This window comes from Homo sapiens, chromosome 7 (assembly GCF_000001405.40).
Source record: "Homo sapiens chromosome 7, GRCh38.p14 Primary Assembly".
Lineage (NCBI taxonomy): Eukaryota > Metazoa > Chordata > Mammalia > Primates > Hominidae > Homo > Homo sapiens.
Window position 1 is genome coordinate 28398348 of NC_000007.14, and position 16743 is coordinate 28415090.

Consider the following 16743-nt stretch of genomic DNA (forward strand, 5'->3'; position numbering starts at 1 on the left):
CATCAGGGTGCAAGTCAGCCTTAGCACTGCTAACTTAGCATCACTTACTAGCCTGCGGGTAGTTCTAACAACTAAGCAAGAAGGCCAGGATGTTGTGCTAAGCTGATGAATCAGTTTACAAATATGAACCTTTGCTATCCCATATCAATGGAATCATCAGGGGCTTCAAGTTTAAAAATCATTCAGCTTCCTATACTGCTATTTCCATAGCTAATAGGGAGAATATATATTGCTTTATAGCAAATCGCATGCTGGACTTAGTGTCTTTCTAAACTGTATATTATGCCCAGATGTTGAAAAGTCTTCTCTTGAAATTAAAGTAAATTTATGCAACTATATTATTTGGTAAGATCAGACAATTAATATTATTATTATTATTTTTGAGACAGGGTTTTGCTCTGTTGCCCAGGCTGGAATGCAGTGGCAGGATCATGGCTCACTACAGCCTTGGCCTCTGAGGCTCAAGCGATCCTCCCACCTCAGCCTCCCGAGCAGCTGGGACCACAGGCATGCACTACCACACCTGGCTAATTTTTAAAAAATTTTGTTGTAGAGACAGGGTCTCACTATGTTGCCCAGGCTGGTCTCAAACTCCTGGGCTCAAGCAATTCTCCTGCCTTGGCCTCCCAAAATGCTGGGATTACAAGCATGAGCCACCGCACCTGGTCTAATATTTTTTCTTCCCGTCTGATGTTCTATTATACATACCTATCATTATGTTACCATTTTGCAGTTGCTAAACTAAGAGCACGGGAAAAATTGAAGGGGCCAGGTAAGATGTAACAGAGAGCTGATATAAGAGTGGGGAAGGCCTTTCTAGAATCATGAACCCAAGTATTGACATCATAACAAAAAGTTGACTATATCGAAATTTAAAAGTTCTATATGGCAAAAGACAGCATAGACAAAGCTAAAAGTAAAAAGACAAATTGGAAAAAAAAAAATCTACAAAATAAGTGATAGGAAAATGGCTTCAGTCAACAGCCAAGGCAATCCTAAGCAAAAAGAACAAAGCCAGAAACATCACATTACCTGACTTCAAACTATATTACAAAACAGCATCATTCTGGTAAAAAAAAAAAAAAAAAAGACACATAGAGCAATGGAGCAGAATAGAGACCCTGAAATAAAGCCATACACCTACAACCAACTAATCTCTGACAAAGTTGACAAAAATAAACAATGGAGAAAGAATATCCTATTCAATAAATAGTGCTGGGAAAACTGGCTAACCATATGCAGAAGAATGAAACTGGACCCCTACCTCTTACCATATACAGAAATTTGGCCTGTCATAGTGTCTCACACCTATAATCCCAGCACTTTTGGAGGCTGAGTAGGAGGATTGCTTGAGCCCAGGAGTTTGAGATCAGCCTGGGCAACATAGCAAGACCTTGTCTCTACTAAACATAAAATTAAAAAGTACAGCTGGGCGTGGTGGCTCACGCCTGTAATCCCAGCACTTTGGGAGGCGAGGTGGGTTGATCAATTGAGGTCAGGAGTTCGAGACCAGCCTGACCAACATGGTGAAACCCTGTCTCCACTAAAAAAAATACAAAAATTAGCTGGGCGTGGTGGCAGGTGCCTGTAATCCCAGGTACTCGGGAGGCTGAGGCAGGAGAATCCCTTGAACCCAGGAGGTGGAGGTTGCAGTTAGCCGAGATAGTGCCATTGCACTCCTGCCTGGGTGGCAAGAGCGAAACTCTGTCTGAAACAGATACACACACACACACACACACGTTTTGTGGGTAGCTTGCTCAATAAAGCTAAATAATGTTAAGCAGGAGGGTGAAAGGAGAGACAAAGTGTCTTGAAATAAAAACACAGCAGAGCATGATGGACAATGGGGATTCTGGAGTCAGGACTAGGTTTGAAACTCAACTTCCTTACTTATTACCTGCGTGACCTTATTCAAATTACTTAGCCTCACTGAGCTTCAGTTCTCTCATTAATAAAATAGTAGTAATCATACCTTTCACCCAGAGTTGTCAGGATTAAACATGATGGAAGATATAACAGGCTTGACCCAGAGTGGGTGCTCACAAATAATAGTGTTCTTTCCTTCCCTTCAGACTTTGACATAGCATTAAATAGCCACAGCAGTCCTGAAAATAGATGCTTTTGCTAAACAGCACAATGTCCCAGTGTACTGTTTATACTGCAGTCTCTTTAAGTGTCAAGTAAGGGCATTGTTATGAAAGCTATAGGCAGAATATTTTAAAACCAGGAAGGGGGAGGAGAGCCAGGTAGGGAAGCTTTATATTTTCTGATATCCACAGTGGGTAATATTCAAGATTCAAATGAAGTTCAGAGTAACTTCCCAGATTTTAAATATTCTGTGTCATGTAAGAACGAGGAGGAATCGCTGATCAATTAGGTTTAAAAGCTACTGAAATTCTCAAGAATCATTTTAAAAAGGTACTTATAAATGCCCCTAAAGAGATGAGAATAACCTTCCCCATCGGCAGTACATGAGTTAAATATGTGGTTAATGATGATACAAAAAGAAGTGCTATGTGAAATATCAGTTCATGTGAGATGATGCTCAATATTAATTTATGGGATATCAATAATGTTTTAGTCTAAATGAAACTTCCCTGTATATAAAACATTCCTAATTATTGTTAAACCATTACTTTCCACTTACCATTGATCTTAAGGAAATGACTAAAATTTTTGGAGTGTGCTGACACGGCACTATTATTCTGGGTCATTATTCAGAGCAGGTGTCAATCTCTTTCACTTAATCTCAAAGCAGAAAAAATAAAGACTAAGTAGTTTTTCCTTTAATCGAGTCGCTTTCAAAGAAAGAAAAACACATTAAGATAAGAGCAACTTTTATAGGGATGTTAACATGCTAATACTCTTTGAGATAGGTGAAGCTTTTGATTTTCAGCCAGGTTCAAGAGAAAACATTAAATTTTATAGAGTAGTGAATACAATAATTCCCTATAGAACCAGGTCAAGCCATTAGCAGCCAATGGTCTTCCAGATGAGGTTCCCCAAGCTTAAACCAGGTGATCTAGCTGTCTATTGTTATTTTTTTTTTAATTAATTAATTTTTTTAATTTTTTATTTTTTTATAATGTAAGTTCTAGGGTACAGGTACGCAACGTACAGGTTTGTTACATATGTATACATGCGCCATGTTGGTGTGCTGCACCCATTAACTCGTCATTTACATTAGGTATATCTCCTAATGCTATCCCTCTCCCCTTTCCCCAACCACGACAGGCCCCGGTGTGTGATGTTCCCCATCCTGTGTCCAAGTGTTCTCATTGTTCAATTCCCACCTATGAGTGAGAACATGCGGTGTTTGGTTTTCTGTCCTTGCGATAGTTTGCTGAGAATGATGGTTTCCAGCTTCATCCATGTTCCTACAAAGGACATGAACTCATCCTTTTTTATGGCTGCATAGTATTCCATGGTGTATAGTGCCACATTTTGTTAATCCAGTCTATCATTGATGGACATTTGGGTTGGTTCCAAGTCTTTGCTATTGTGAATAGTGCCACAATAAACATACATGTGCTTGTGTCTTTATAGCAGCATGATTTATAATCCTTTTGGTATATACCCAGTAATGGGATGGCTGGGTCAAATGGTATTTCTAGTTCTAGATCCCTGAGGAATCACCACACTGTCTTCCACAATGGTTGAACTAGTTTACAGTCCCACCAACAGTGTAAAAGTGTTCCTATTTCTCCACATCCTCTCCAGCACCTGTTGTTTCCTGACTTTTTAATGATCACCATTCCAACTGGTGTGAGATGGTATCTCATTGTGGTTTTGATTTGCATTTCTCTGATGGCCAGTGATGATGAGCATTTTTTAATGTGTCTGTTGGCTGCATAAATGTCTTCTTTTGAGTAGTGTGTGTTCATATCCTTCACCCACTTTTTGATGGGGTTCTTTGATTTTTTTCTTGTAAATTTGTTTACGTTCTTTGTAGATTCTGGATATTAACCCTCTACTTGAAAGTTCATGTGGAACCAAAAAAGAGCCCGCATTGCCAAGACAATCTTAAGCCAAAGGAACAAAGCTGGAGGCATCACGCTACCTGACTTCAAGCTGTATACTACAAGGCTACAGTAACCAAAACAGCATGGTACTGGTGCCAAAACAGAGATATAGACAAATGGAACAGAACAGAGCCCTCAGAAATAATACCACACATCTACAACCATCTGATCTTTGACAAACCTGACAAAAACAAGCAATGGGGAAAGGATTCCTTATTTAATAAATGGTGCTGGGAAAACTGGCTGGCCATATGTAGAAAGCTGAAACTGGATCCTTTCCTTACACCTCATACAAAAATTAATTCAAGATGGATTAAAGACTTAAATGTTAGGCCTAAAACCATAAAAACCCTAGAAGAAAACCTAGGCAATACCATTCAGGACATAGGCATGGGCAAGGACTTCATGACTAAAACACCAAAAGCAATGGCAACAAAAGCCAAAATTGACAAATGCGATCTAATTAAACTAAAGAGCTTCTGCACAGCAAAAGAAACTACCATCAGAGTGTATAGGCAATCTACAGCATGGGAGAAAATTTTTACAGTCTAGTTGTCTCTTGTTAAACAACATTTCAAAGTTGATACGCACCTGCACCTCCAATCCAAGAGCATGGCATTTTTGAGTTACACCTGTTAGGATTTCAAGATGTGATTCTGAAAACTAAATCATACTAGGGTTAATAATTATACAACCACTGGTGTAAAAATGCATTTGTATGTCAAGACTGGAAGGGTAAAGTGTGATGGCTTCAACTAGAACATCAGCTTGTATAAAATTGCTCTGTTGCCCACAGACTCAGTGCAGATTTGTTAACCTAAAGGTACCATCTCCTTCAAATACAGCTGGCTTATGCTAAGACTCAAAAACTGGACTCAGGGCCAGTTGGATTGATTCCTCCATCTAACCCACAGAACTTCAATATTACATCTTATATGCAATTTTATGTAACTAATATTTATTGAGCACATTCTAAATGCCAGGCACAGGGCTAAGCACTTGACATGAATTATTTTATTAAATTCTCCCCAAAACCTTACAGGGCATAATAATATCTAAGACTATTTTTTCAGTAACTACTAGTGTCAGACATTGTTTTAAGCATGTTACATATATTAACTCACTGAATCCTTGCAGTATCCTAGGAGATAGATGCTGATATTATCTCCATTTTGTAGATGAAGAATCTGAACTTCAGAGAGGTAAAAAAAAATTGGCCCTGATCACACACCTAGTAAGTGACAAGGCTACGGCTGTCAAATCTCTTGCTGTCTGCTGCCTTTCCTCTCAGCATGTGAGCATGGAGCTGGGGGTCTGGTGGATCCTGTCAATCATATGTCTGTGGGCAGCACCTGACACATAATTTTTGAATCCAGTGCTAACTGAAAATGCAGGGCCTCTTGTTTAAAAGGCAAGGGAAAAGTGCCACCGAAGATAATAAATAGAAAGTTTTTTCTCTCTTGCAAAGTCAGTCTCTTGACTTGTCATGGTATGTTTTATTTGCTATTTAATGTCACTTTAAATAGCAAAAAATTAAAATGTTACATTATTAGCATTAATTTTACTGTTCATCTTTACATCCTGCACTGCTAGTTTTAAATGTAAATATAAGATCACTTAACTTGTATGTGAAATCACTCAAATCCCATAATTTGTATGTCATGGCCCGTACATACATATGTATTTTGTTCTTACCAGAACGTGGATACACTGTACAAAACAAGCTCAACCACCTTTATTTCACTTCTTGATGTGCACACGTTCTGCCAACTCTCTGCTTTCTGTTTACTTGTGATGAGGAAAGATGGAAAAGAAAAAGAACTATGGGCCGCCCTATCTTTCTCTTGCCTTCTATGTCATCATTTTCAGTGTATGTGGTTGCCTAACACAGGGGCCTAATGCAGGTAAGATAGGGTTCTTGGTTGTTTATGTTTCTTGGGATGCCATTGGTTTTTTTTGCATCCCAAGAAAGTTCTGGTTTGAAAGGAAAGCGTGACCTCTCAGGGCTGTCAGCCTCACCTCTCCTCTCCCATCCCACTCAGTCAGAGAGATCATGAATTTACCTTGTATTTGATTTGAGTCTTGCTGGATTTCCATGCACCTTGGGTCCACTGGAATTTGGTGCTCCTGAGGCATCATGAGCAAGAAACAGCAGACATGCCGTGATCACCAACCTCCTCATGCACATGCTCCACCAGGCTTCTTTTATAAAGCATAAGTTCAAAGATAAAATTATTAAGAATTTCAAGATGGTGACAGTGAGCCTTAAACCAAATATGGGACCATTCTGAGCATGAGATGAGGCCCTGTGTGACCAGGTATCACAGGCCATGAAGCCAGTCCTGTCTGTCTGGAATGGCTTTTGATTAACCAGGCACAGAGTTTGCATGGAGGCTGGTGGCTTTTCCTACTCACTGCCAATCTCTGGCTTGTTCTCAACTTTCCTGATTCTTGCATCCTCAAACCAACTTGTGCTCAGGACTACCAAAGTATGGGGTGCCTTCAGGCAGGCACTGGGACAGGCAACAGCAATGTGGGTTCTTTTCTCATCTCTGCCATGCCCCAGCTGTGCAATTCTGGGTAAGTTACTCAGCCTTTCTAAGAGTAAGGTTCCAGCTGCCTCACAGAGTTGTGAAGATTAACAGAGAAAATGCACATAAATCCCTTAGCTCAAGGGTTGGCACAGAGCAAATGCTTGGTAAATGTTAGTTAACAGTGTTGTGGTTTTCACAGTTTTGGATGCATTTTGCAGTTTCATTTATTTGGAAATCTTTATCCCTTCAAATAAGGTAATGAAGAAACCTGGTGAAGACCCATTTTAGAAGGGATGGAAACTTCCCAATGGGACGATAGCTAGATGTTTAACCACAAAATGGGCTTCAGCAGCATCCCTTTCCCCATCACTGTTAATTTAGTTAAGAAAAGCCTAAAATAAAATTTTGGAAGTGGGAAAAGGTCACTCTGAGTGATGTGGGCAGAAGGGATGAGGAGAAGCCTTCTCTAGGGATATGTTCATCTTTTTGGGAAGCTGCTAGAGGATTGGTCTCTTTTCCTTTTTTTGAAACAGGGTCTCACTCTATCATCCATGCTGGAGTGCTGTGGCGCAGTCACTGCTCATCGCAGCCTTGATCCTCCTGGGTTCAAACAATCCTTCCATCTCAGCCTCCTGAGTAGCTGAGACCACAGGTGCACACCACCATGCCTGGCTAATTTTTAAAAACTTTTTGTAGAGACGCTCAGGCTGTCTATGTTGCCCAAGCTGGTCTCGAACTCCCAGGCTCAAGTTATCCTCCCGTCTCAGCCTCCCAAAGAGCTGTGGTTACAGGTGTGAGCCACTGCGCCTGGCCTTGATCTCAAGCATATGAACTTTGGGTCATATTTTTGAGTGTCTCAGGCTGACCTCTTTTCTTCTCCGTCATCAGCTTCCTCCTGGATCCCTGCCCATCTATGAATTCATTAAACTAGAGTCACTCAAAGGATGTGTGTGTGGTGGTGGTAGGTGGGGAGTTCCCCAGACGCTTGCATCAGAATCACAAATGCAGAATCCTGGACCCAATGCCAAACCTTGGAACTAAAATCCCTGGGGACGTCTGACTCAAGAAACTGACTTTAATAAGTTGCCTGGGTGTTTTTTGCTTACTCCACTAAGTTTGAGAAGTTCTTTGGGAGCCTAGGAGCTGGGAAGAAAGAGACCATTTTTTGTTTTCTGACTTCAGCACTGGGCAGATCTGCTAATGTTTGCCGAATGTTGGAGAAATGACTGAACCCAAAGTACAGAGCTAAAGAATTTCTTCCCATCTGAGGCCTCTTGGGATGGTTTTATTCAGGCCTGATTAAGCACTAGTAAGGCTGTAAATGTCTTAAAATACTAAAATTCTTCCATGGGAGTTGGTAAATACCTAGTGCTTCCCCACTGGCCCAGCTGCCTAGTCCTCTCCCTTCCACTGCCCAGGATCCAGCAACTAAAGGTCTCCCAGGGGTCTCATCTATTCTCATTGGTCACTGCAGGTGCCAGTCAGCTCTGCATAGGTCCAACCTCTCTGCCACCGCCAATGGTACCTCGGGGGTTGGCTGTGTCCAGCCTATACTCCTGTTCTGTGGAGGGAAATGGGATGAGCATCGGGAGAATCTTGGGTGGGTGGTACCCCAGCCAGTTTACCTTGGTTCTGGTGTAAGCGCCCCTGTCTCCACACGTCTGACAGGCCACAATGGATGGAGTCCTGGTGGGTGAGAGGGCATTCCTAGTGGTGGTGCTGGCACCCCAGGGGGCAAATGCCCCAGGCCATGGCCACCGCCAGTGGAGGCACCCTTAGAGATGCTCTTGCATAGCTGCTCTCAGCAACTGCAGCCTCCATGAAACTCTGGCTCTGAGAAATCCTGGGAGAGACTGAGTGAGCATGAGGCAGAAATGTGAGTCCACAAACACAGGGGCTCTGCCAGCGCATTTGACAGATGAGAGGGCTGCTTGGTCCAGATGACACATGCAGAAGGCAATGTGGGGCTGGGGGAATTATGGGGTAAAGGTTCCCTTTTCATTTATTTAGTTAAGTTTGTAAAAAAAAAAAAATCACCAAATGCCCACCTATCACAGCATTAGCCAAAATACCTTTATTAATAAAAAGAGAGTGAGTGCTTCCATAGTACTTGCCCTGTGCCAAACACAATTCTTTTTTTTCTTTTTTCCTTTTATTTTTTTTGAGACAGAGTTTCGCTCTTGTCACCCAGGTTGGAGTGCAATGGTGTGATCTCAGCTCACTGCAACCTCCGCCTCCCAGATTCAAGCGATTCTCCTGCCTCAGCCTCTCGAGTAGCTGAGATTACAGGCACCCACCACCACACCCAGCTAATTTTTGTATTTTCAGTAGAGACGGGCGTTTCACCATGTTGGTCAGGCTGGTCTCGAACTCCTGACCTCAGGTGATCCACCTGCCTCGGCCTCCCAAAGTGCTGGGATTACAGGTGTGAACCACCGTGCCCGGCCCCAAGCACAATTCTTAACTCAAGTAATAAAATTCTTAACTCGAGTCGCTGTAGTTATCATCACCATCCTCATTCATAGTTGAGGCAACTGAGAACCAGGCGTCAAGTAGCAGAGCTAAAATTTGAATTCAGGCAGGCTGACACTAGAATCTACACTAATAAATACCTCTTCTTTTCTTCAGTTTACATTTAGAAATGATTTGTGTGTGTGTGTGAGATCTGGAATATGTAAAAATCTCAGTCTGTAATATGACAGCTAGAAACCTTTTGCATGAAATTGCAATGATTTTATTTCTACAATAAGTAGAAAACTCAGTGATGAACTCTGAATAAGGCTGTGAGGATCAAACAGTCATCAGTCCCTGTGGTTTCAAGGAACACTAAAGGGCAAGGGGCCACTTAAACACTTAAAAACAGAAACAACATGCTAAGCTCTTCCATTTAGTATGTCAAAACCAGCTCAGAAGTATGTGACAATCCAGGCAATGTATTACAGTTTCTAGCCAGTCCAGTCATGATTCTCTGGCAAACTGCACCGTCATGGTTGTGATGCATTGGGATGAGAGGTACTATATAAATGTCAGATGTTACATAAATGTCAGAAATGATTATTGTTTATTAACGAGGGCTAAACTGTTTCTAAGCAAAGCTCCATCTCCCAGCCAATGTGTTCTTAGCAGAGGTTCCAACCACCAATAACCCACAAGAAGGGAATGCTTACCCCTGGCTCTATGAAGGAGCCCAGTTGGGATCTGGGCTTGAAAACAGGGATTGAGTTGGGCCCAGTGCCACCCCTTGCTCATCAAGTGATCTCAGGCCAGCCCCCAACCTTCTGGTGTCTGCCTTAGCTCACCTGTAGAATGGGAATAATTATAATACCTGTCCTACTTCTGGTACCCGGGTTGGTGTGAGAAACAAGGGAAATCACGTGGTCGCAAGCGCTTTGTAAGGTGTGAGGGGCTGCGAGGTTGGCATTGGTCGTCTAGAATCGGGCTGGATTTAGCCTATGCCTTCTCTTTGAATCCTACTCAAAGGGAGAACTTCTGAAAGGAAATTCAGCAGGGGGATGGTGACAGTGATGGTGACGGCCGGATACTGGAGACGCCAGGCTCCTCTCGCTGCAGACCAGGCGCCCGGATCCTGCAGTCTGGCCCTGGCTCTGCCGCTCCCCAGCCCGTGAGCTTGGGCCAGTTACCGAAGAGGCTCTGGAAGTGACAGCCAAGGGCCCTTTCGGCTCTGACGCCGTGTCTAAATCAGGCTCATCACTTGGCTCTAGCTGTGATTCACCTTTCGCCTTAGGAGCAACTCTCCCTACAGCTTCTCAGACGCATGAAGCAGGGGTCCCGCGAAGGGTGGGGCTGTGTATTTCATGAGAGTGTGCACCATAAGGAAGTTATTCTCCTGGAGGAGGTGAGATGAGGGGGCGGTGAAGAAGGGGTGACAAGTGAGTGCTCTGAAAAGCCAGGATGCAGGGAGCACTGAAATGAGGTCATGACTGTCGCAAGCAAAAAGGAGCTGGACATCCTCCGGTGGGGGAGGGAGGAGCGTCCTGCATTTCTGTTTGCAAAGTCTTTTCCCACATCCTTCAGCATCCCCCTCCCCACCTCTCCCCTACCCCCATCCCTACACCTTTCAAACCCCATCAGGCCCTCCCCGCAGAAGAGCCCACGCCCGCGCCTCCTCCGTGGTCTTGTCTGAAACCATAAGGATTGTTTCCAAGCTGACTCACACCACTAATGTCAGGGAGCCGTGTCACACGGCGCTGGGCTCTGCAAGCTGTTGCTTGCGCAGTCGCCCCCGCCGCTGCCGCTCCCGGGCGGGTGCACCAGGGTCCGCGCGGGCGGGGCGGGGTCGGGGCGGGACCGGGGCGGGGCCTGCCCCCTCGACGCGCCGGCCCCGCCCCTCGCTCCGTCCCTCCCCAGCGGACCGCAATGATTTAGAAGTTCAGGAATCCCACGTGACGTCACCGGGGGGGTGATGTAATGCACTCTAAATAGAATGTATTGTAATCTTTGCTCAGTCCAACGTGGTCCCTTCACCCGGGCTCCGCTCTTGCCTTCTCCACACTTGTTTGGTAAGTTCCTAAAAATACGGCTCGGCCACTTCTGGGGCTTTTGCATTTAGCCACTTTTGTTGCACTTGCCGCAGGAGCCATCTCGGGAGTGTACTTGTTTGCAGGGGTTGGTTCTCGGCAGCAGCCGCGAGGTTACTTGGTCCAGTGGGCAGGTCACAGGGCAAGGAGTAGGGAAGATGCGATGCATTTTTTTCTGGAGGGTGATCTGTGTTTGTAAACATTTTGGCGGACCAGAGGGAAGTCCGGCCCCGAGTGCTGGTAGACTGTGGAATTCGGCTGTGTCCTGAGGCCACCCTAGAGACCCCGCGCCGCGTGAGTGCCGGAGCGCTCGGTGGCCGCCGCGCCGCGCGCCTGGAGGGATGCTAACGTGGAGCCGGCGCCGAGTCCGCCCGGCGTGCGTGCGTGTGTGGGAGCGCGCGAGTCCCCTGACGCGGGGACCAGTTATGAATCGGGGGTGTGTGTTTGCCTCCAGAGACCTGGCAAGGTGCGGAGCCCTCCAGAAGTGCGGTCAAGCGGCAGCGGAGACGGCGAGCCAGGAACCTCCCCCCGCGTCCCCAGCTTCCCAGCGTGGCGGCGGAACCCCCGGAGAAAGTTTGCAAACTTCCAGCGGGCGCGGCGAGGACGCCGGGTCACCTAGGGGGCGGGTGGGCGCGCGCGCAGGGGGCTCGCTCTCCCCGGTGCGGAGCTGCAGCTGCCACCTCTCCCGCCGGGCTGCCGGCTGCAGCGGGTGGGCGCGCGCCCGGGGAGGGGAGGTCGCCCTCGGAGGGCGCTTGGCTTTCGCTCCAGGCGCTCCGGGCTGGAGAGCGGCGAGGCTCCGTCCGCTCCAGTCCACTCCTCCGGCCGCCTCCTGCCTCCGCTGCTTTCTTGCTGGCATCGTTACCTCTTCCCGGCCGCTGCCCCAAATGACAGCTCCGGCTCGAGCTTTGGCGGCGCCCAGGCAATTCCCAAGACCTGGCGGCGGAGTCTCCCCCTGCGGCAGATTCTCGGCAGAATCACTTGAACTTTTCACGAAGTTCTTAGAGGGGCAAGATGCGAAGGAAGGAACCAAGGAGATGTTTTCTCTCAGCAGCTGCATCCCGCTTCTTCTTTGCCATAGATTTATTTTTAAGGGGCGTCTGGTAGATAAAGCCCTAGACCTTGTCCACACTCTCACCCCCATCCCCAACTTTCCCTGGACCGGTGCCGCCCCCACTTGATGCTTGCTCAAGGCCGGGGACTGGAGCGGGCTACTTGTATATTTCGTTGTCAGTCTGCAGAATGTGTTTGATTTTTATTTTTCCCTCCTTCTCTGACATGTGTCAAGGAATAAAGACTGGATACAGGTCCATTACGTCATTCTGCAGGCCAGTAAGTGTTTGATTAACGGCTTGAGCTCCTCAAGGGTTCAGGAGCTTAGAATGCTGACAAAGCAACTCTGCTTTGCATCCCCCTACCCTCCCCACAACACACTCGTGCAATCGCCGGCTCCCTGGGCATCTTTATTGCCCTCTCTTCCCAGCCCCTCCCTCTCCACCACTCCCCCGTCTACACCGTTATCACTCTAGCCCCGCCCCCGCCTTTTTACAGCTTTCCCTGGGGCGAGCACGGTCCCTGGAGTGTGGGTAAAAGCTTCTGGGGTCTGAGGGGACCACTGTACCTGATCAGCGCGCAATCCGCCCTTTTGTATTATTTAAGAAAGGCACCAGTAAGCCTTCTCCTCTAGGGCGAAAATGCTTAGTCCTGATAGAAAAGGCAAATCAGGAAATGTTTGCAAGCGTTATGATAATACTCTGTCCTCGTGGTGGTGACTTAGGAAAGCAATACACCCACTGCAAACAAAGTATTTCACTTTACGTAGTGCCTGCCCTTTAGCAGAAGAGGGATGCTGACAAAATCAGGTTTAGCTGAAAGGATCAAGACTAAACGTTTCATTTCCAAAGTGAGGGAATGTGAGTCGTTGAACCTAAACTTCCATACAATAAATTGCTGCGTGCGTTAGTTTCTAGCTCTTAACCTTAAGTTTCTATGTTGAAAGAGGAAGTCGAATACGTAAGTCATTGAACTGAGTCAGAACCTCCGTATCTGGCAGTTGAAATAAAGACCCTGTGTATGACTTGTTGCAAGGGATCAAAGTAAAAAGAACCCTCGGTGTGGGGGGTGGGGGGGTGGGGGCGTGAGGGAGGTGTGCAGCAGAAATTAAATTTAAAAAAGTATTAACAGAGTTTTGGATAGAGGGAGAGAGGGGATTGGAGTGGTCCCTGATTTGGAGTTGGTGAAAACTAAATAAAGAAAAGTTTATATTGCAAATATGTGGGAATTTCTTGAAGAACACATGTTTTCTTATAATTAGATCTACTTTCTTCAAAGCGAAAGCCATGCTGTAGGGTAGGCATTTGTGAAACTCCTGTCTGGGGTCTAATTGACATCCTTCCCCAAGTCTGTGGCAGGATTTAGTATTTATTCACATCTAGAGATGAAATAGTGTAACCTCCACACAATATATGTGCATCGAAAATGTTGAACTTCTTGTTTGTGATGCATAGACTTAAAGGAAAAAAAATGGCCCAGTCATGGGCACTGGAAAGTGTGATTAATGATCAGTGATTTAGTGATCAGTGATTAGTGGTTTTATTCAAACTGTTACCTCTGACCAGAAGCACACATCAGAGGATTAACAGGCTCTTTAGATAAATGCTCATTAGTGGAAGGGGAAAAGCAAAGATAATAGGCATGCACCCAGGGACAACTTTCGAAGAAAATCATTCCCGTCTTCAGAATAATAAGCTCTATTAACAGAAAGCCCTTTTAATTTAAAACTTGCTTTTATCTTGTAAATCAAAGTTAGATGTAAAAGTTTGTAGTGCCATTATAACCTAAATTTTCCCATATCCACTAGATGTGGATTATCTCAGTAGCGATATTTTTTTTTATTTAAACAAACAATTGGACCTTTAGAGCAGCTGAACCCTGACAAGTTCTTAACTCCCAGGGTTTGAAAGTGTCCCCCCTTCTAGCATGGAGATTGCAGCTTGCTAACTAGATGGCGCACTGTTATTTGGTGTTCTCTGCTGCGTAGCGCAGGAGTATAAACTGAGCATGTAGCTGCTTGCGAGGTGTTCTTCAACATTTACAACAAAGTTGATTCTGTGTAGGGTTGGAGGCTAGACAGTTCCACAAATTTTTAGTCACATTTTCCATGTCAGTTAAATCTAGGGAGTTCAAGACTACTGGAAAAATTAGTCTCATTACTAAAAGAAACTTAGAGAACGAGGGAGGTACCAGAGTCTAGGAGGTACCTCTGGGTTGCAGAAGTAATTGTAAAATACCAGACCTGTTCTTTTTACTAAAAGCTAGTTTCACTATCTTCTGGTCTGAAATACTGAGGCAAATACTCAAGACTTATTTTCTTCCTAATCTTGCTGGTGAAACAGAAGTTACTAGAAAGAAAGGAAGAAAAAACTTGATTTGGTGACTGCAGGAAGCAACACGTTGCTGCTTTTATTCTACAGATAATGGTAAGGATGATGTTTATTATGCATATTAAACAGAGAGAAAACTTTGCACTTAGTTAAATAGAACCAATGTTGTATTTTCATAGATGGAATTCAGAAATGGAGTTTAGATTTTGCACAAAATTTTAATGTTGCTTTTGTCAGTTTCCTGGGACTTATAGCATTTTATGTGGAAGGATGTGTGTGTGTGTGTGTGTGTGTGTGTGTGTGTGAATAAGACTATTATTTCCCAGGTAAAATATGTTCAGAAGCATATGAACTACAGTGGGGAAGCTATGGAGCATGTTAAGTAATGTGTCAAGCATGAATTCCCCTTTCTGTGAGGTTTCATGAATCACTTCAATAAGTATTTAAGTTTTAATAAGAAAGTTCTTGAAAAAGAAACCTAAAAATTAAAAAAAAACAATAAAACAGTTTTCCGCATTCAAACCTAGATGTGTATGCCCCTGAAGGATGATTCTATGGGTTGAATATCAACTATTACTTTAGTTCTAAAACTTAAAAGAAGAAGTATAATAAAACTCACTTGTGTCTCCCCAGAAATGTTTCTCATTTTCCTTTGCTTATAGCATTTTATATGGATCTCTTATTTTTAAATCCTTACTGATTATAGTGGTTTTTATTTTTCAACTTAACTCATAGTAAACATATTTGAAAATATCTCCAAGCCCACTATTTTTAATGTAAATTGCTGGTGCCGATAAATTGCCTGTCAATTAGCGGTCAGTCGTGACCTTATATAGTTGATACCTGAGAAGATAGTTTATTAGAACATTCCAACAAAAAATTGGAAACCATGCCCTTATTTCTAGATCTCTGTTATGTCACAGCTTTTATTTGAATAGGTGGCTAAATGAATGGTAGTTTGTCACAGAGACTTTTCCTGCATAGATTTTCAATTCTAGTAAGTTTAAGATTTTTGTTACAATGATTTGTCAGTTTCCCACACCTGCACATTCAAAACCAATCAATCATGGAGTTTCCATGATGGCAAGTTCCTAGACTCCCAATTTCTTACTATAATCTACTTTTTAGCAATGAGGTATCACAATCCTATAATATTTTCTTGTCATTGGAGTTTACTTCTTACTAAGCTAAAAATTATTTTGTCGGTGTGTAGTGTTCACTAGATCACTAAGATGTGAACTTTGTATTTGTAGTTCATTTTCTTCTGGTTATGTTGTTGGATTAAAATTGGGATTTGAGTGGACTTATTATTTTTGTCATCTTTTCTTTCTTCTCCTTCTCCTTCTCCTTCTTCTTCTTCTAAGCAATGCAGTTAGTCACAAAATTAATGTGATCCTGGCTGGTGTTTCCCATCTATATGCTTCTTTTGCTTCTTACAAATTGGATTTCTACAGCAATTTAAGGTCTTTTTTTTTTTTAGAGGCAGCTTTCTTGGATGAAGATGGAACAGTGATCTCAGTCAATTCATTATCTTGTCCACTTTGACTACCAGCTGTATTATGGGAATCAACCAATGCTTAATTAGTGTTTAAAAATTTAAATCTATGACTATTTCTCTGAATTCTATTTAAGAAAATTATACAATTGAGATAAGGTAATAAACTGGGGGGCAATTGCCTTAAATATCTAAGTGTGAGGAAGAAGCACTTTCAGATATGCTAAACAGACTTAAAGACACAGAAGACCCTTTTTGTGTTGCTATTTGTAAAATAAGTAAGCTATCTATTTTGTGGCAATGCTTTAAATACAAAGTCTGGCACTTTAAAAATGACATCATGTTTAATGTTTTCACTAAAGAATTATTACATTTCGTAATTAGGAAAAAAATGAGCAATTAGTGTTTTTTGAGTATCCATTAGTATTCCATTGTTGAGAATCACAAATCATAGATTTAACATAGGAATTTTTTTTTTTATAAAAAGAGAGAAGCCTTTTAGAAATTTCCAGATAGTGATAGCACTCTTCCAGAAACCCCACTAAAATTTTTGAAGCTCTTATTGAGGACTCTGGGACTGTCACAGTAAAAGATAAAGTTTAGGATAAATTCTTGAACCCATAAAAGATATTATATTGACATTTCAATATTTCTTTTTTCCAAGTTCACTGTATTGCCTTCCCCCTCACCCCCTGAGAAATAGATCAGAATCAGTTTATCACTTTAAAAATATGTATTTCAGCTGCTTTCTTCTATTTCCTTAAGGTTACATTT

The 16743-nt window shown here is 43.4% G+C and overlaps 1 protein-coding gene across 9 annotated transcripts in view, besides 4 other annotated features; it reads left to right on the forward strand.

The window, feature by feature from the left end:
• CREB5 (cAMP responsive element binding protein 5) overlaps positions 1-16743 on the forward strand; it is a 526574-nt gene that overhangs the window by 99027 nt on the left and 410804 nt on the right. For 5 of the 9 annotated variants that reach the window (XM_017012806.2, XM_005249906.2, XM_024447005.2 and 2 more), the window contains exon 1: positions 11021-11076. The exons of 1 other annotated variant lie outside the window; for it this stretch is intronic. Coding sequence is in view for 3 of the 8 variants with exons in the window: in XM_017012807.2 (XP_016868296.1) it covers positions 12334-12423 (90 nt within the window). In the remaining 5 variants the exon portion in view is untranslated. Of the gene's footprint in view, positions 1-11020; positions 11389-11548; positions 12424-14170; positions 14571-16743 lie in introns of those variants that run through there. 3 more of the 9 variants (XM_017012807.2, XM_017012808.2, NM_182898.4) reach the window with 3 other exon arrangements.
• Positions 10563-10857: a silencer, noted in NCBI's record as "tiled region #5389; K562 Repressive DNase matched - State 10:DNaseD". NCBI's record gives its function as "represses a minimal TATA promoter and a strong SV40 promoter by Sharpr-MPRA in K562 cells {active_cell/tissue: K562}" and the evidence as "EXISTENCE:reporter gene assay evidence [ECO:0000049][PMID:27701403]".
• Positions 10563-10895: a biological region, named in NCBI's record as "Sharpr-MPRA regulatory region 5389".
• Positions 10826-10895: a silencer, noted in NCBI's record as "silent region_18045". NCBI's record gives its function as "represses an Ori minimal core promoter by ATAC-STARR-seq in GM12878 lymphoblastoid cells {active_cell/tissue: GM12878}" and the evidence as "EXISTENCE:reporter gene assay evidence [ECO:0000049][PMID:35858748]".
• Positions 14168-14257: an enhancer, noted in NCBI's record as "active region_25795". NCBI's record gives its function as "activates an Ori minimal core promoter by ATAC-STARR-seq in GM12878 lymphoblastoid cells {active_cell/tissue: GM12878}" and the evidence as "EXISTENCE:reporter gene assay evidence [ECO:0000049][PMID:35858748]".